Source organism: Homo sapiens, chromosome 4, assembly GCF_000001405.40.
Source record: "Homo sapiens chromosome 4, GRCh38.p14 Primary Assembly".
Lineage (NCBI taxonomy): Eukaryota > Metazoa > Chordata > Mammalia > Primates > Hominidae > Homo > Homo sapiens.
The window spans coordinates 2956919-2975745 of NC_000004.12; the positions used below are offsets into that span (position 1 = coordinate 2956919).

General features: G+C 47.3%; 2 protein-coding genes across 30 annotated transcripts in view, besides 6 other annotated features; one reads left to right on the forward strand and one right to left on the reverse strand.

Moving 5' to 3' along the window:
• The window catches only part of NOP14 (NOP14 nucleolar protein), a 25471-nt gene extending 18983 nt beyond the window's left edge, over nucleotides 1-6488 (reverse strand). For all 4 annotated transcript variants that reach the window (NM_001291979.2, NM_003703.3, NM_001291978.2 and 1 more), the window contains exons 1-2: nucleotides 6207-6488; nucleotides 688-822 (exon numbers count right to left, since the gene is read on the reverse strand). In NM_001291979.2, the coding sequence (NP_001278908.1) occupies nucleotides 688-822; nucleotides 6207-6401 (330 nt within the window). In that variant the 5' untranslated portion in view covers nucleotides 6402-6488. The remainder of the gene's footprint in view (nucleotides 1-687; nucleotides 823-6206) is intronic.
• Nucleotides 5046-5115: an enhancer, noted in NCBI's record as "active region_21205". NCBI's record gives its function as "activates an Ori minimal core promoter by ATAC-STARR-seq in GM12878 lymphoblastoid cells {active_cell/tissue: GM12878}" and the evidence as "EXISTENCE:reporter gene assay evidence [ECO:0000049][PMID:35858748]".
• Nucleotides 6146-6679: an enhancer, noted in NCBI's record as "H3K27ac hESC enhancer chr4:2964791-2965324 (GRCh37/hg19 assembly coordinates)". NCBI's record gives its function as "activates a minimal SCP1, AML or CMV promoter by ChIP-STARR-seq in naive H9 embryonic stem cells {active_cell/tissue: H9 hESC(naive)}" and the evidence as "EXISTENCE:reporter gene assay evidence [ECO:0000049][PMID:30033119]".
• Nucleotides 6653-18827, forward strand: part of GRK4 (G protein-coupled receptor kinase 4) — a 77190-nt gene continuing 65015 nt past the window's right edge. For all 26 annotated transcript variants that reach the window (XR_924941.3, XR_001741210.2, XM_011513447.3 and 23 more), the window contains exon 1: nucleotides 6653-7204. Coding sequence is in view for 22 of the 26 variants with exons in the window: in XM_011513447.3 (XP_011511749.1) it covers nucleotides 7153-7204 (52 nt within the window). In the remaining 4 variants the exon portion in view is untranslated. The remainder of the gene's footprint in view (nucleotides 7205-18827) is intronic.
• Nucleotides 6676-7105: a silencer, noted in NCBI's record as "silent region_15195". NCBI's record gives its function as "represses an Ori minimal core promoter by ATAC-STARR-seq in GM12878 lymphoblastoid cells {active_cell/tissue: GM12878}" and the evidence as "EXISTENCE:reporter gene assay evidence [ECO:0000049][PMID:35858748]".
• Nucleotides 6676-7213: a biological region, named in NCBI's record as "H3K27ac-H3K4me1 hESC enhancer GRCh37_chr4:2965325-2965858".
• Nucleotides 6680-7213: an enhancer, noted in NCBI's record as "H3K27ac-H3K4me1 hESC enhancer chr4:2965325-2965858 (GRCh37/hg19 assembly coordinates)". NCBI's record gives its function as "activates a minimal SCP1, AML or CMV promoter by ChIP-STARR-seq in naive H9 embryonic stem cells {active_cell/tissue: H9 hESC(naive)}" and the evidence as "EXISTENCE:reporter gene assay evidence [ECO:0000049][PMID:30033119]".
• Nucleotides 7276-7325: a silencer, noted in NCBI's record as "silent region_15196". NCBI's record gives its function as "represses an Ori minimal core promoter by ATAC-STARR-seq in GM12878 lymphoblastoid cells {active_cell/tissue: GM12878}" and the evidence as "EXISTENCE:reporter gene assay evidence [ECO:0000049][PMID:35858748]".

The following is an 18827-nucleotide window of genomic DNA, read 5'->3' on the forward strand; positions in this document are numbered from 1 at the left end:
CGAATCCTAAGCAGCCTTAAAGAGTATTTTGGGTCAACTAAGCAATGATTCATGATTCAGACAGAAATGAAACTCATGGAGGGTAATTCTTTTTTTTCCTTCAGACAGAGTCTCGCTCTGTTGCCCAGGCTGGAGTGCGGTAGAGTGATCTGGGCTCACTGCAACCTCTGACTCCCTGGTTCAAGTGATTCTCCTGCCTCAGCCTCCTGAGTAGCTGGGATTATAGGCATGCGCCACCACGCCTGGCTAATTTTTGTATTTTTAGTAGAGACGGGGTTTCATCACGTTGGCCAGGATGGTCTCGATCTCCTGACCTCATGATCCACCCACCTCAGCCTCCCAAAGTGCTGGGATTACAGGCATGAGCCACCGCGCCCGGCCTCATGGAGGGGAATTCTTAAATAAGCCCAGGGGCCAGTTTCCACTCCAGCAATGCTGCTCAGCTGAGAACTCCTGTGCACACTGCTGCCGTGTAGTAGAGTTAAGGCATTTATCCATTCAGCTAACATTTGCAGAAGAGGTTGCTTCTCCTTTGGCCTAGCCAGATAAGGCACAGGATTCGAGGGCTATCCCCTGGACCTTCCGAGTGCCCAGGAACATGCAAAACATGCAGAGTCAGCCTTCTCCTTGGCCTTGACTTCCCTGTGAAATGTACAGCAAAAACCCTCCTCCAGTTTCTTTCCATACCTGCTGTTCCAGAGCAAACCTCTTCATCATCTTCTCCTCGGGGCTCATGTTGCTGTTGTATTCTCCGAAGCGTTTATCTCTGAATACATTGGATTTATCCCTTTCTTTGTACTCTTTTAGTAAAGTCTGTGTACGCTGGAAAACAGGTCAGAAACAATCTCACAAAAAATTCTTGTGATTTCCACTACAGGGGACATCAGAACAGTGCATACTTTAAAGTTCAGGGCTATGCACAGTGATGTCAAAGTTCACACCCAATCTGCTTTCATGCACGATAGGCTTTCTCTACTAATCACAGAATTTTGAGAAGAGCAAAACAACTTTCAAGGATAATGGGGCAATCACTTTCTTTTCTTCTTTAGAGTCTACCGGTGCCAAAAGGAAGGGTAAAAAAGAACACACTAGTCAAGCTCAAGGCATGAATGGCTCCCTCGGCTGTAACAGCTGCCTTAAGGTTTAAAACGTGCACATTTGGAAAAGTGGAAATGGGTTTAGACTCCTTCCGTCATGGAGGAGGGTACTATTTCCCATCAAAGGTACTCCTAAGAAATGTGTAGTTGTGAGTTCATACTAGACACAAGGCAATAAACAAGTTAGCGAGGTCACAGTTTAGGGGCTTCACCTTTATAACACCAAGAGGAGCAATATTTTAAATACGGTTAGCAAGTATCAAATAATTTGGTTATTTTCCCAGCAGCAACAAAAAAAGACCAAGTTTAACAGTATTCAAAGTTGGCTGTCCTGGAGGTTGAATTCCCTAAAGAAAGCTGTGAGAGGACAGAGATGGGTGAGGAACGAGTGGCCTCTGCAACCTGAGATGGCCACATTGCAAACTCTTTCTTGCTGCGGAACTTCTTCTATTTGCTAAGGAACTGCCATTACACTGGTGTTTACACAGCAATTCCGAAAGGAAATGGCATCAAGGCAAAATCTTGATGCCATGGAAGGCCCTTGGAATGATCCAATTCAGTGGTTTTACAAACCCACCACAAATCGGTGCCTCGGCAGACATTTGAAACCTCTCATCTAACCCGACTTAAGTGTTCCTTGCCTTCCTCAGGGATTCCTCTAATTTGTGAAGTCACTTTGAAAGAATGCGTGCGTGTGGCAGGAGGGAGCGTGTGGTGACTTGGTCACTGCCACTCTGGTTCCAAGTTCTGTTTCAGGAGGGGACAGGTCAGATTTTGCTCCAGACATAGGTCACTTCCCCAGGGTCGGAGATGAACTTAAAGGCTAAGAAACCCAGATTTAAGGTCAAAACCAGGAGCTGGAAGAGGAGGAAAAGAGAGTGGAAGGGGTTAAGAAGCAGCTGGGCAAGAGCAGAAGATGCTCCAGCAGGGACAGAAGCACGACCTGGCCCTCCTTTCCATTTAGAGCACATTCCATCTGGAGAGGTCAACCGAAATATTAATCATGTGGACAGGAGAAAAGGATGTGAAAAAACCATTTCTCTTATCTCACTTTGAAATGTGAAAGTGCTATTATTACACTTAAAATGCATGAAAAACCCCTCTGCTACCTGAAGAGTAGGAAACCATCCATTAGTTCAATAAATACTGCCAAGGCAATTTTCGTCATTTTCTTCAAGAATATTTCAAGAACCAATTTGTTTCAACTGACACACGCTGAGTTATTAATCCCTAGTAACTTCTAGTAACTTCCTACCGTGGCAGTGCTAAACAATGTTTGTTAAAAACACCTTTGGGGCCGGGCGCGGTGGCTCACGCCTGTAATTCCAGCACTCTGGGAGGCCAAGGCGGGCGGATCACGAGGTTAGAAGATCAAGACCATCCTGGGTAACATGGTGAAACCCCGTCTCTACTAAAAATACAAAAAAATTAGCCGGGTGTGGTGGCGGGCGCCTGTAGTCCCAGCTACTCAGGAGGCTGAGGCAGGAGAATGGCGTGAACCCGGGAAGTGGAGCTTGCAGTGAGCTGAGATTGTGCCACTGCACTCCAGCCTGGGCGACAGACAAAGACTCTGTCTCAAAAACAAAAAAAAACAAAAAACACAAACAAACCACCTTGGGTACAATTTCCTGAACCAGAGTCTAAAGACAGCGAGTGTCCCCAGATAGACCAGAGGGCTCCATCGCCATTGCTCTGTTCTCTCCGCTTCTGTTACGAGCCATTCCAGAGCGAGATCCTGCTGGATGCTGATAGTGAACCACACACAGTACTGAATCAGGTTAAGCTCTCTGAACCTTCACCATTCTTTATCCGCAGAGCAAAATTTTAAAACAACATCTCACTATTTAAATCACAAGGTCTAGCTGGCAATCAGATGGGAGCACATTACATGTGCTAGCCTGTACTGCTCGATGAACTCTGTACGGACAGAGGCTGCTTGCATGCTACACTGAGACCTTTTTTTTTTTTTTTAAAGATGGAATCTCGCTCTGTCGCCCAGGCTGGAGTGCAGTGGCACAATCTCAGCTCACTACAACCTCCACCTGCCGGGTTCAAGCAATTCTCCTGCCTCAGCCTCCCCAGTAGCTGGGATTACAGGCGCACGCTGCCACGCCCAGCTAATTTTTTTGTATTTTTAGTAGAGATGGGGTTTCACCGTGTTGCCCAGGCTGGTTTCGAACTCCTGAGCTCAGGCAATCTGCCTGCCTCGGCCTCCCAAAGTGCTAGGATCACAGGTGTGAGCCACCAAACCCAGCATACACCGAGAAGACTTCTGAGGTCTGTCCCTGCAGAGGGAGGGAGTGTCACTGGCTTCTAGCAGGAAGGGGGTAGATGGGGCAGGCATCAGCCATCTCTGCCTCTAAAAATATTAGTTCTCATTATCTGGAATATGATTCTATGGGTAAATCTTAGTGAAGAACAGCCCTTAGGCTATAAATACGTAATATGAGTTATTCTACATTATTGTGATTCTCTTTCTTTCTTAAACTATATAGATGTTGTGACATCATATGGAATTTACGGCATAAAATGGGGATAACAGTACTTCCCCCTCATAACGGTGAGGATTAAATGTAAACCGTGTGGCACAAGGCCTGACCAACTGTAAGGGACCAGTAACTATATTATTAATATAGTTACTATATATTATTATATTAATATTATATTAATATTATAATCACATTAATATTAATATATTAATATTATAATCACATTAATATTAATATATTAATATTATAATCACATTAATATTAATATATTAATATTATAATCACATTAATATTAATATATTAATATTATAATCACATTATCAATATATTAATATTATAATCACATTATCAATATATTAATATTATAATTACATTATTATTATATTATTATATCAATATTATATTAATATTATATCGATATTATTTTAATATTATATCAATATTATTATATTAATATTATATCAATATTATATTAATATTATATCGATATTATTTTAATATTATATCAATATTATTATATTAATATTATATCAATATTATATTAATACTACATCAATATTATATTAATACTATATTAATATTATAATAATATATTAATATTTTAATAATATATTAATATTATAATAATATATTAATATACTAATATAATAATATATTAATATGCTATTACAATAATATATTAATATGCTAATATTATAATAATATATTAATATATTAATATTGTTAGTATATTAATATATAGTAACTATATTAATAATATAGTTAGTATATTAATATATAGTAACTATATTAATATAGTTACTGATTTAAGAACTACATTAATATAACTTATTTTATAAATTATTTCAGAAATAAGGAAACTGAGGCACAGCTATAAAGCAATGTCCTGAGACTGGCACCTGGGGGCTGCCCTCTTCCTGCCAGACTGAGTGCCTCAGAGTGCTACAACTGACCAGAGGGGAGAAGCCAACTGAGGCAGCCTGTTTACTTCTAAGGGACTAACCCACATGAAAAGACCCAGGCCTCCTGCGCCGGCCTCACGGCCCCTACACGCGTTATCAAGCTTGGAGTCAACTGGACGACCTGCTGTCCCTCAGACAGCTGTGAGTGCCACACTTCACCATACCGGGACAATGTGCCTTTGCATGTGTGTCCTCTGCCCACCCTGGGCCCATGAACAGCTCACTCCCCTTGCAAAACTTGACTGTAACTCCCTCTAGAAGAATTTTTGGACTTTCCTAACTATTACACTTTTTCCTGACCGGGATCTCCTAAGGCACTCAGGTTCCATCTTTGATTTCTTCAAATATTTGTGTTTCTTCCAAGGGCCAAGCATTGGAGATCCAAAAAGGAGCAGCAATTCCCGTCCCCGTCCCAGGCCTTCAGCACAGGGCAGGGAGGTGGATCTGCTCAATACCAGAAGTTTGAGCAACCTGTCCTATTTGGGTTACATAGCTTGGGTGGTGAACCTGAGCTGGCCCTTTAGAGACTTTCGGAGGTAAGGCAGACCTTTTGGACAAACTGAGTTGCAAGAGGCGAAGCAAGGACAACAGCCAGACTGTGCGGGACTCGAACGACAAGCCAAGAAGGTTAAGAATAACAGTATTTAGAGAACACTTGCTGTGTGCTCTATGTGCTATCTTACTTAATTCTCACAAACCACCACGAGGGGTAGGATGTATACTATCATCTCTACTTTTGAAATGAGAAAACTGAGGCTTCAGTGGTGAAGACAAATGTGTCTCTTCTAGGGAACCACACTACCTTATTCTCCCACCCCGGCCCGGGGGTGTGTAATGAGGGACTCCTATCGAAGTCAGCTGTAAGTCTATCTTGCCTATTCATTATACAGGCTGTCGTCTTCGCGCAGTAAGGATAATATGTGTTTTGATTCAAAGACCATCCAGCTTGCACACTGTGATGAACAGAGATCAGGAGCTCATGAAGGCAAGGGCAAGTCTTATTTACCTTTATCTCCCCGAACCTAGAAGCGAGGTCAAACAGAAGCGCTCGGGGTAGCAAGAAGGCTTTGTAGATATTGAAATGTGAATGCATGCCCAGCCCTTACCAGGTGCGTGACCTTAGGAAATGCACTTGTCCTTTCTGTGCCTTAATTTTTTCACCAACCTGCTAATGTATGTTCCTCAGTGAAAATTTAAAAAAAAAAAAGTTAAAAAAACTAGGAAGCAATGAGTTTCCATAGAGTTACTTCCCAAGGAACAAGGTTACGCGCTTCGGGAGAGAGCCGATGAAACATCAAACGCAGCATCCTACACAGCCCCTATCCACCGTCCCCAAACCTGCAGAGCTCAAAGTAAACGCGGAAGGGTTAACAAGCAGCTTGGTCCAGGGCGCCGCCCGAAGTGACTGACTCGGCCTGACCCGGTTGGAGGAGTCGCCGAAATAACACGAGTGCAGGGTCTCCAAGACGGCGAGAGTTTCCAGGTCACTCCAGCTCAGAGAACAGCAGAGGCTTTCGGACTATCAAGTCAGTGCCGTGTGCCTGTCACGGCCTGTGCCGCTCAACGAGGAAACCGACGCACCGAGAAGGACGCAGCCGGCCGAGAGCAGCGTGGGGTCCAGATCCTGCCTTCCGGCTCCCCGTGCGCCCCCCGCTTACCTTCCTGAGGGCCCGTGCGCGAGACACCCCGGGCAGTCCCACGTCGTGGCGCGTCTTCCGGCCCAGGATCTGGAACTTCTGCCTGTTAACTTTCACCTCGAACGGATTGGAGTTGGCCTTCGCCGGGCCCCCTCGCGCTCCCGCCGGCGCCCCGGAGGCCTTCCTTCGCGCCCCGACCTTCTTCGCCTTCGCCATGGCGCGCGCCCCGCTGCGCCCAAGGGCCCGAGACCCGAAGAGAGACAGGCGCGCGCTACCCTAAGACACGTGCCGGGCCGCGGAACCGCTTCCTCGTCTCGCGAGAACAGCGCAGCACCTCCGACTCGCGAGAAGTAAACACCGCGCCCGCAGGCTCGGCTTACTCGCCGATAGGCTCAGCGACTACAACTCCCAGCAGGCCACGCGCCGCGGCCCGCCGTGTACTCTTGGCGCAGGGCCTTCTGGGAGCTGTAGTGCCCCGGCCGCGGCGGCGAGGGGCGCTCCCTCTTCAGCTAAGCCGTTAGCGCCGAGCCCGCCCGGGAGCGGGTCGCCGGCCGCGGCGGGCGCCCCTGCCAGTGAGCCCCTGTCCGAAGTGAGCCACGGCATTGACTCGGGGCTGCCCGGGGGCAGGGCACTGAGGAGGGAGTTGCGCGCGCGAGGCGAGGGCGATGGGGCCAAGAAGAACCGGGGCGATAGCGCGGCAGCGGTGACAGCTGGGACCCGCCGCGGTCGGGCTGCCCCCTCCCCTCGCCCCGACCGCTCCCCTGCTGGTGAGGGCCTGCGGAGGCGGCGGCGGCGGCGCCCTTGGTGGCAGTGGTGGCGGCGGAGCAGCCTCCCGGGATCGTGTCCGGAGCTCGAGGAGAGGGTGGTGCCCGGCGAGCTATGCACGGGGGCGGCGGCGTCTCCTCCTGTTCCGCCTCCTCAGTCTCCTCGGTCTCGCAGAATCCGCCGGCGGCGGCGGCGCCAGGACATGGAGCTCGAGAACATCGTGGCCAACTCGCTGCTGCTGAAAGCGCGTCAAGGTGGGTGCGCGGCAGGCGCCCCCGACCCCCCCCCCAGAGAACCCCGAATCCCGGGGAACCCTGGCCCCCCTGAAGGAACCCGACATCCCCGGAGAACCCCGATTTCCCTGGAGAGCCCCGACACCTCCCACTGGGGGAACCCAGATCTGCACGGAGCCGGAGCCGGGGTCTGTGCAGTGTGGTCAGGCTGCCCGGGCCAGGTCCCAGTCCCCATCTCCTGGCCCAGATGAGAGAAGTCTGCGCTTTGCTCTTCTTAGTCTTGCCCTGTGTCCTTGTCCTGTCCTCTCGGTGTGACCTCGGTGACAGTGTTGCTTCAGGATGCGGCAGGCAGTGTCCTGCTTGTGTTGGACAACCTGTCCCACCAAAAAAGAACGGCGTCTTTATGGTCTTAAGGGGGACAAAGAATAGCAGCCTGGGAACTACTCTGGGCGAGAACCTTCCGATAATGATTGTAGGGCAATGTTATTTTTAACATAGCTGCTTGGTTTTGAGGTTTGATCTGAGGCTCTATGGTGTGTCAAGTGTGCTTTAGCACGACGTGGTCACAGATGGACAAGTTGGCAAAAATTCAGCCTTTTATCATTATTAAAGTGAGGCAGAAATTTAAAAATAGTAATAAGTACTGCATTCATTCACTCCAAGAAAAGAAAAAGCCAAGGCCCAGAATGTGGCAAGGCAAGGGTTAAAAAGAAAAGAAGAACAAGTTTTCTTTTGCTTAGCAAGCTCACTTTAAGGACAGTTATAAGATAACGCTGTTCTGTTTGAGAAGTCGAATCCAAAGGAATAGGCTCCAGACACCCCCCTTCCAGAGCAGGGGTGAAGAAAAAAAAAAAAGAGGACAAATATCTGTGTTTAGCCAGTTCTTGGTTTTTTCTTTCAACGCAGCTACAAGGCCACCAGCTATGCAAGGCCACAAGTTATGCCAAGTCATCAGTTATGCTATAGATTATGTGACCTGTCATTATATGATTAACTGCCTTTGTTTTGCTTCTGTAAGTTTGCTTATAAAAATCCTGCTTAGTCTTTGTTCAAGGCTCAGCTTTTTGGATGTGAATCCACTGAGCTGGTGCGTACCTTAACATAAATATCCTCCTGTTTTCACCCATGCTGGTCTCTCTAGTCCTCTGCATCCCGCCACAAAAGCATCAGTTGGTCCAGCCCTTCAGCGGGAGACCCCCACAATCCTCTGTGCAATCCTCTGTCTCGGACCTCATGTCTCCCTTGCCTGCGTCTCAAGAGAGCTGGCGACAGAGCCTCGGACCTCAAGTCCCTGTGCTAGCCACGGTAGTTCTTCACACCCCGTCACTCTTACGGAATTGCTGATTTCCTCTATTTCCTTGCGTGATGGAGCAGCTCTGCTCGGACTGTGCTCCAGGACAGTGTAAATGCCGACTGAAGATGCCACAGCAGCCGGCGATGCATATTTAAAGGACAGTCTGGAGCCGAAGGTGGCGGCCACGCTTGTAGTCCCAGCTACTCTGGAAGCTGAGGTGGAAGGCTCACTTGGGCCCAGGAGAGTCCAGCCTGGGCAAAACACAGCAAGACCATCTCTTTAAAAAAGTCTAAAACAAAGACTTCATCTTCTCAGTATTTTTGTGCACCAACTCACACTATTTTGAATAGAAGAACTGAGAATGGGTGGGAAGAGAATGGGATCTTTTTCCCTTAAGATAATCAGGGAGTCCCAGAGCAGTATGCGTTCTCAGCAGCCATTTTCAGTGGAGCATTTGACTGTGCCTCTTATCCCTGACTGTGAACTCCAAATAGGTCATGGAAAATAATCATCCTTAGTGGAAGTCAGATTGAAGCTAAGCCAGTTTTCTTTTTACACTACCTTCCTATCTGCATGTAATTTACAAAAAGGAACTATACCAAGCCGCCTTCCTTATAATGCTGCAGAGATTAGATAATGAGATAAATACAAGTGCTCTATAAATGCTAAATAACATAAAACCAGATTCTGTCACAAAACCTAAGACCACAGTGATAGTTTGAAAAATGAAAGTTTTGGCCGGGCACGGTGGCTCACAGCTGTAATCCCAGCACTTTTGGAGGCCGAGGCGGGCGGATCACAAGGTCAGGAGATTGAGACCATCCTGGCTAACATGGTGAAACCCCGTCTCTACTAAAAATACAAAAATTAGCCGGGCGTGGTGGCGGGCGCCTGTAGTCCCAGCTACATGGGAGGCTGAGGCAGGAGAATGGCGTGAACCCTGGAGGCAGAGCTTGCAGTGAGCCGAGATCGCGCCACGGCACTCCAGCCTGGGTGACAGAGCGAGACTCCGTCTCGAAAAAAAAAAAAAAGAAAGTTTTAATTTTTTCCCTGAAATATCTCATATTAACTCCACAGTAGTGTGATTATGAGGCCTGTCCCCATTGAGTGAGAGTATTTGCTCCTGTGGTCAGAAAGCATCATTATGTATAGCTTGATTAATGGTTAGAGAAGTTGAATATATAATATTAGATATACATGGATACATGCTGAGTATTGGTTATAATTTAGGGCTTTTTCCCAAGTTGATGACTGTGTTTGTTACTTTAAAGTATCTCCCAGGAAGTACCAGGAGGTGTCTTCTTGGACACATAACTTCATGGACAGCTCCTTGTTTAGCTTCACTGGCTCATATACTAGAAAATTAACCTTTGAAATGAATGAACGTAGCACAAGAGTTATATTCTGGTCCTGAGAAGCGCAATGTTGATTTAATATTATTAGTGAGTCCGGTCATTTCCTGGATTTATTTCAAATAGAATCAGTCAGTCTCAATCCCCCCTCCCTCTCTGGTCCCTGCTATGGTCTGAATATTTGTGTTCCCCCAAAATTCTTATGTTGAAATCTTCACTACGAAGGGGATGGAATTAGGAGGTGGGGCATTTGGGAGGTGATTGGGTCATGAGAGTGGAACCCTCGTGAATGGTATTAGTGCCTTTATAAAAGAAACTAGAGAGACACCCCTCACTCCTTCTACCATGGACACAGAAAGAAGATGCCAGCTATGAATCAGAAAGTGGGCCCTCACCAGACACCAAATCTGTCTTGATCTTGGACTTTTTAGCTTCCAGAACTGTGAGAAATACATTTCTGCAATTTATAAGCTACTCAGTTTATAGTATTTTGTTAGAGCAGCTTGAACAGACTAAGATGGTCTAAACAGAAGATTGTTAGAGCCTTTTCCTTTCAGGAATGTTGGCAGATGATGCTGCACTGAAAGTGTTTGTGTGTCACTCTGCCAGGGACATGAAGGAAGCGTGAAATGATCATATTGGTTTGGTCTTATTTTGTTTCGTTTTGTTTTGAGACAGAGTCTCACTCTGTCACCCAGGCTGGAGTGCAGTGGTATGATCTCAGCACACTGCAACCTCTGCCGCCTGGGTTCAAGTGATTCTCCTGCCTCAGCCTCCCAAGTAGCTGGGACTACAGGCACCCACCATTCCCGGCTAATTTTTTGTATTTTTAGTAGAGACAAGGTTTTGCCATGTTGGCCAGGCTAGTCTTGAACTCCTGACCTCAAGTGATTCGCCCACCTCAGCCTCCCAAAGTGCTGGGATTACAGGCGTGAGCCACTGCACCCGGCCCGTATTGGGTTTTTGTTGGTGTTTTGTTTTATTTTTTTTTCCTTGATATAATTCATAGGTTCATAGATCATATTGTTAATAAATATAAAAACAATTTTTTTTTGAGGCGTCGTTTTGCTCTTGTTGCCCAGGCTGGAGTGCAATGGCGCAATCGTGATCTCGGCTCACTGCAACCTCTGCCTCCCGGGTTCAAGAAATTCTCCTGCCTCAGTCTCCCGAGTAGCTGGGATTACAGGCATGCACCATTATGCCTGGCTAATTTTGTATTTTTAGTAGAGACGGGGGTTTCTCCATGTTGGTCAGGCTGGTCTCGAACTCCTGATCACAGGTGATCCACCCGCCTCAGCCTCCCAAAGTACTGGGATTACAGGCGTGAGCCACTGTGCCCGGCCTGTTTTGTTTTTTTTTTTAATTTAGGATTTTTTCCCTGTATAATATTATTTGTTAAGCAACTTATAACTTTTATGCTTTAAATAAGCTTAAATTATTTCACATCATACTTCTGAGGAGACTTTAACACCGTCTTATCTCTTGGAGAAATTGAAAACAAATGCAGAGAGGAATACGTAATACGTGCATTTAATGTGGGTTTTGGTCTTATATATTGCAATTCTGTTCTGATTTCAGGCTGCGGTGTTATTGAGCAGTTTCTTTAACACCTGCAGCATGGTTAATATACCTGTTATTATTAATGCTGTCTCTTGCTGAGGCTTCCTCCCTAGAACTTTTGCTAACTTAAGCAAATAGGAAATTTATGGAGAAGATATTGGGTAGCTCAAAGAATCAAAGTAAGAACCTAACAATCAGTCTGGAAAGAACAGGATGTGGGACTCATTCATTCATGCATTCATTTGGCAGATGTGTGCTCAGAATGTTCCAGGTACTGTTCCTATAGCAATAAACAACATGTTCAGAAATTCCTGCCATTCTGGAGACCACATTCTTATAGGGGAGGCAGTCTTGAGGCACATAAATAAGACGTGTGGCATATTAGCAAGCAGTGAGTGCCACGGGAGACTACAGCAGGGATGGGGGTAGGAAGCGCCCAGGTGGCATTGGTAGTTGCAGTTTTGGATAGTTTTAGACAGGGGGCTGCTGATTGATAATCAGGTCTCCACGGTCACTCCTGTGACAGAGCAGGTATCTTTTTATTTTATTTATCTGATTTTGCCTCATGAATTTCATGATTCTTATCCTGGGAGAGAGCACCAATTGGCTGGCTTGGCTCTGGCCCCCTTCCTGCATCCGTGGCTAAGGGGGAACCAGGCAGCTGGAATGACAGTCCCACCAAGACATACACCGTGGGGGAGAAGTAAGGGAAGGGCTGCAGAAGAAACCAACAAAGGGCCATTGCAAGGGCCTGTTTACATGACATAGTAAGCAGGCATAGGCCATATGCGCTAGGGCCAGAGGGGTAGCTAGGAGAACGGAGAGGAAAGAGGAGATCAGAGAGATGCTGAAGGTAGAAGACACTGGATAGAGGAGCGATTGCAGAGAATCCTCAAAGTTGCCTTTGAAATTCCCTAGCTGAGGAAATTAAAAGACTGCTCTTTCTAGTCTTGAACTCCTGACCTCAAATGATCCACCCGCCTTGCCCTTCCAAATTGTTGGGATTCCAGGTGTGAGCCACTGTGCCTGGCCAAATTTTCTTTTCTTTTCTTTTCTTTCTTTCTTTCTTTTCTTTTTTTTTTTTTTTAAAGAGAGTTTCGCTCTTGTTGCCCAGGCTGGAGTGCAATGGCACAATCTCGGCTCACCGCAACCTCCGCCTCCTGGGTTCAAGCGATTCTCCTGCCTCAGCCTCCCAAGTAGCTGGGATTACAGGCATGCACTACCACGCCCGGCTAATTTTGTATTTTTAGTAAAGATGGGGTTTCTCCATGTTGGTCAGGCTGGTCTCGAACTCCCAACCTCAGGTGATCCGCCCACCTCGGCCTCCCAAAGTGCTAGGATTTACAGGCGTGAGCCATGGTGCCCAGCCTTTTTTTTTTTTAAAGACAGGGTCTCACTCTGTTACCCCGCTGGAGTGCAGGTGGGGAAATCATAGCTACTGAAGCCTCAAAGCCTTGAACTCTGGGGCCAAGCAGTCCTCCTGTCTCAGACTCCCAAGTGGCTGGGACCACAGGCATGCGCTGCCATGCACAGATAATTTTGTGGTTTTTGTGGAGATGGGGTCTCACTATGTTGCCCAGGCTAGTCTGGAACCCCTGGACTCAAGTGATCCTACCCTCCCACTTCAGCCTCCCAAAGTGCTGGGATTACAGGGTGAACCACTACACCCGGCCTATTAGAATTTTCAACAGCATGTAAGATCAAGTTTTCTAGAAAGAGTTATAAACTTAGTATTTCTTATCTGTCAGATATTTGAAGTAATCTATGTAGTAGTCAGCCAAATTATTTCTCTGCCAACAAAAGGTTACCCCATTTTCCCTAAGCAATAATGTCTACCGTCTGTTACTATCATTATGGTACAGCTAATTTGGGATGCTATCAATCAGCCAGGTTATTAGCAACCAGGTCAGTTTGGTTTTCTTATATTTTCTACTTTGTCTATCTAGATTATAATGGCTTTAAATCAGGATTTTTATTTCTTGGTCAGTGAATCAAATATTGGGTTATTGGCTTTATGCTACTTTAGGACCAAAAATATCTATACCACTGATACTATAAAATAATATTCTTGGCCAGGCACGGTGGCTCATGCCTGTAATCCCAGCACTTTGGGAGGCCAAGGCGGGCGGATCACGAGGTCCAGGTATCGAGACAATCCTGGCCAACATGGTGAAACCCCGTCTCTACTAAAAATACAAAAATTAGCCAGGCATGGTGGCATGCACCTGTAGTCCGAGCTACTCGGGAGGCTGAGGCGGGAGAATCACTTGAACCCGGGAGGTGGAGGTTGCAGTGAGCCGAGATCGTGCCACTGCACTCCAACCTGGCGACACGGTGAGACTCCATCTCAAAAAAAAAAAAAAATGTTCTTTTTTTTTGGGGGGGTCAGTCTCGCTCTGTCGCCCAGGCTGGAGTGCAGTGGCGTGATCTCAGCTCACTGCAAGCTCTGCCTCCCAGGTTCACGCCATTCTCCTGTCTCAGCCTCCCCAGCAGCTGGGACTACAGGCACACGCCGCCATGCCTGGCTAATTTTTTTGCATTTTTAGTAGAGATGGAGTTTCACTGTGTTAGCCAGGATGGTCTCGATCTCCTGACCTTGTGATCTGCCCGCCTCGGCCTCCCAAAGTGCTGGGATTACAGGTGTGAGCCACCGCGCCTGGCCAAAAGAATGTTCTTGAGCTTTATATTTTGACCCAAATTAGGCAATAGTTACCTTAAAGAAAAATGATACAGTCAAAATCATTTTGGCTTTATTAAAGCTCCTCAAAAAACTCTAGAATTAGGGCTTTCTTAAGTTACTTTTTAGCAGAAACATTTACGGTATTTTGTACATATGTGTGCAAAGTTGCTTATTAACATTTATGTCATGGTCATAAAGACTAATTTGGTAACAATATTCAGTCTCCAGTAAATATGTGGTTAATTGATATGCAAATTACTTCCAAAGTACAAATTAATAGTCTCATATTACATTTTTGTGCTTTGCTACCTTTACCTCAAACAAAATAATCTGTAGGATTCTTCATGCTTGTTTCAGCACCTTTTGCCCAGCTTTGCTTGCTTCATTGGCCAGAGGACTGTCAGCACCTCATGAAGCCCTTTATATGCTTCTCTGAGGTCATTTGCATAATGTTGTGGCCTATAGTAGGTTCTCAATAAATACCTGATGGATGAATGAATGAATAAGGATGAGGAAATGAACACGGTAGGTATGCCTGGATCTGAAGCAGAAGTGGCCCAAAAATGGAAGGAAAAGAAACTTGGCAGGAATAGCAGGAAGAAGAAAGCGGGGAGGACAGTATTGTGTGAGTTTGCTAGGGCTGTGTAACAAAGTGATACAAACCTGATGTCTCCCGCAACAGACATTTATTGTCTCACAGTCTTGGAGGCCGGAGTGCAAAATCAAGTTGTGAGTGGAGCTGGTTCCTTCTGTGGGCTGTGAGGAAGAATCTGTCGCAGGCCTCTCTCCCAGCCTCTGCTGGCTCGCTGGCAGTCTCTGGTGTCCCCTGGCTTGGAGGTGCATCATTCTGATCTGTCTTCATCTTCACGTGGCGTGCCCTCTGTGGGTGTGTCTGTGTCCAATTTTCCATTTTTATAAGGATACCAATCATGTTGGATTAGGGCCCACCCTAATGACCTAATTTTAACTTAATTGTCTCTATAAATACCCTATCTCCAAATAAGATCACTGTCTGAGGGTTAGGGGCTAACTGGGGAATAGAACTCTAACATAAACGTTTTTTAGGATGGGACGAATTCAACCTGTAACAGGTACCTCTGAAACAGATGAAGGCAGCCCATAGAGGGGATCCTTGGGCCTTCAAACACTGTGGCCCCACTTTACTGCCTGCTTTTGGGGACCTCAAAAACTTAAGAGGAATCCTCTGACAGTTTTCAACCCAGTATGCTGCCCAGACTTTAGTGTCTGTGGATGGTCCTCCTTTGAAATGCCTGTGGCCCTGCCGACCACCGTTGACCTCGCCATGGCCCCACGACTCATCATGCTCTGCCTGGTTCTTCACCTTCTGGCCTCCTTGTCTTTACGTAGTATTGACAGCATAGCCGGCCCACCTTTGAGTATGACCGGGCCCGGGCCAAACAGCGGGGACGTGGAACCAGACTGCTGTGCTGTGCCAGTGGAGACTTTTGGAACTGAGGACAGCTGAATGAGGGGTAGAGTGGCGCTAGGGTTCACCAGCACGTGTGCCCCAAACCTGCGGGGGGGGGCCCTTTCTTCTCTCTCTCTCTCTCTTTAACCTGTGACACTCTGTCCCTTAGACCAAGCCAGGGGACCTTTTGTAGCTGCAGTGTGCAGTGTGTGCTTCATGCCCCACCAGGTCTAGTCATATGTGGCGGGGGCGGAGGGGGAGTCCTGTGTTTAGAGGTGCACAGTGTGTGCGCTGCTGTGTGTGTGTGTTATTTACTCTTTAAAAAAATTTTTTTTTGAGACAGGGTCTCACTCTGTCACCCAGGCTGGAGTGCAGCAGCATGATCTCGGTTCTCTGCAGTCTCCACCTCCCGGGCTCAAGCAGCTCTCCTGCCTCAGCGTCCCGAGTAGCTAAGACTACAGGTGTACACTGCCATCCCCAGCTAATGTTTGTATTTTTTGTAGAGATGGGGTTTCACCATGTTGCCCTGGCTGGTCTTAAACTCCTGAACCCAAGTGATCTGCCCAACTCAGCCTCACAAAGTGCTGGGATTACAAGTGTGAGCCACTGCACCTGGCCTTGTTATTTACTCTTCAAACAAGTGTGGGGTCAGTTAGATGCTGGGTGCTGAGTCCTCACCTCCACCACCTCACCAAAGCCACCCTTGCCACATCCCAGGCATCAGTTCTTGGTCCTTGTCTTGCTGCCCCCGTGGGCTGCACTGACGTGGCACGTCATGCTTTCTTCCGTGAGCGTGTTCTGCATCATCACCCTTCCTGTTGCGCTGCTTGCCTCAGATGGCTTGGCTGGTCCCCCCTTATCTTCTAGATCTTTTAATACCAAATGCCCCCCGTCTTTGTCCAGGGGCTTCTCGCCTTCTCTATCCACACTCATTCCCTTGTGATCTTGTAGTACTATGGCTTGAAAGAAGCTCCTGTCACCAGTTCACGCCTGCAGGCTGGGCCTCTCCACTCAACTTGCAGCTCACTGTGCTGCTGCCTACCTGACATCGCTGTATGGAAGCCTCATTGGTACGAGAAAGAGCCTGTACCAGACCCCAAATACTCAACCCCAGCACCCCGATGTTTCCATCTGCACCTCAGTTAATGCTCATGTAGCTGCACTTGACTTACTCGCACCCCCACACTCAATCCTTGGACAGAGTGTTCAGCCCTCAACTCAAAACGCAGCAGATTCCGACCTTTTCTCACCTCCTCCACTGCTGTCACTTGGCTCAAGCCGTCAGCGTCTCACCTGGAACACCGTGGTCAGCTTCTGCCTTTTCCCCCTGACAGCCCGTTCTCAGCACAGCAGCCAGAGTGGTCCTATTAAAATTTAAGCCAGATTGTGTCGGCCCCTCCTCTGAACTCTCTTCATGGCTTCCCAGACAGCTCAGAGTGAAAGCCGTAGTCTCTGCAGTGGCCTTAAGACCGCCGCCCCAACCTCATCCGCCCTCTCTCACTCTGCCTCCACACGGTTTCCTCTGTCTCTTGAGAATTTTTTCTTACGGGGCTTGTTCTCTCACCTGAGGAATTTCCTGACCACTACCCCTTCCCTCATTCACTCTTTTTTTCCTTGGAGACAGGGTCTCGCTATGTTGCCCAGGCTGGCCTCGGACTCCCGGGCTCAAGCGAGCCCACCTAAGCCTCCCCAGTAGCTGGGATTATAGATACACACCACCACACCCGGCTCTCATTTACTCTTTATTTTTCTTCCTTTATTTTTTCCCATAGCACTTATTATTATCTCATATACGTATATTTTACTTGTACTTTGTTCGTCGGGCTTTCTCCCTAAAATTAAGCTTTATAAGAGGAGGAAGTTTTATTTGCTTTGTTCACTGCTGTATTTTTCATGCCTAGAACAGTTCCTGGCACACATTAGATGCTCAGTAAATATTTGTTGAATGAATGAATGAATGTATGAATAGCAGTTAAGATCATGGGCTTTGGAGCCAGCCAGACCTGGGCTTTATATCTCAGTGCCCTCTTTATACTATCTCAACGACGGTGTCAGTTACTTCAGTTTCACTCAAAAACGGTTTATTGTGTGCCAGGCACTAAGCTTGGCTCTAGGGATACAGGGATGAATAAAAACAGATGAATATCTCCTTCTGAGAAGCTGACAGTCATGGAGGAAAGTACTTAGCTCAGGTAATGTGGAGGATCAGACAGGAGGGCTTTATGGTCCAACCCTGGAAGTGGGTACACCCGTTTTTGGTTGTTTTTTATTCTGATAGTTTTGGGGAAACAGTTGGTGTTCTGGTTGCATGGAAAAGTTCTCTAATGGTGATTTCTGAGATTTTGGTGCACCTGTCACCCGAGTGGTACACCTGTTTTATACATTGCTCTGTCACATGGCCACTTTTAACTGCAAAGGGGGCAGAGCCACAGAAGTACTAGCTGGGCAGCCACATCCTGGCAACGACTCTGCATAATGGGAGTGCGTCTTGAGTTGGCATAGGACAGCTGGCTGTCTGTGCCATGTCTGCCCTCTAGCCACCAAATATCCATGCACAGCCTTCTTCCCTTACAGGTATCCTAATCTCCCTTCAAAGACCAGAATGAGGCCGGGCGCGGTGGCTCTCGCCTGTAATCCCAGCACTTTGGGAGGCTGAGGCAGATGGATCATGAGGTCAGGAGATCGAGACCATCCTGGCCAACATGGTGAAACCCTGTCTCTACCAAAAATACAAAAATTAGCTGGGCGTGGTTGCGCGCACCTGTAGTCCCAGCTACTTGGGAGGCTGAGGCAGGAGAATCGCTTGAACCTGGGAGGTGGAGATTGCAGTGAGCCAAGATCACACCACTGCACTCCAGCCTGGCCACAGAGCCAGACTCTGTCTCAAAAAAAGACCGGAAAGACCTCTGCTCTATTTCCTCCATGAGGGCCAGACGTGGCTCCTCAGGATTCCGCAGCCTACATAAAGAACCAAATGATCTTCCCTCCTCATACCTAATATACCGTGGGGGAGCAGAGGCAGGGTGACTATTGTAGAAATTCCCTTTTAGAAAAGGAGGAGCAGGGAGCCCTCAGTAGACACTGGCCCGTCAGCAAAAGGGCCCTGTGCGGGTGGGGAACATTCCTTGATTAGCGCCCAGTTCTGCCCTCACCTGTGTTCACTGTGTCCCATGGCTCCACCCCCAGGACATTTTCCTCCTTGAGCCGGCTAACATGGACAGACAGATGAAACCTCCACAGGTTTCTGGAGCAGTGCAGAGCTTTGCAGACCCACTTCTACGGATTTAAGTTTGTGGGCTTGAAGGTTGTTTCAAGGCTCAAGCAGTTCA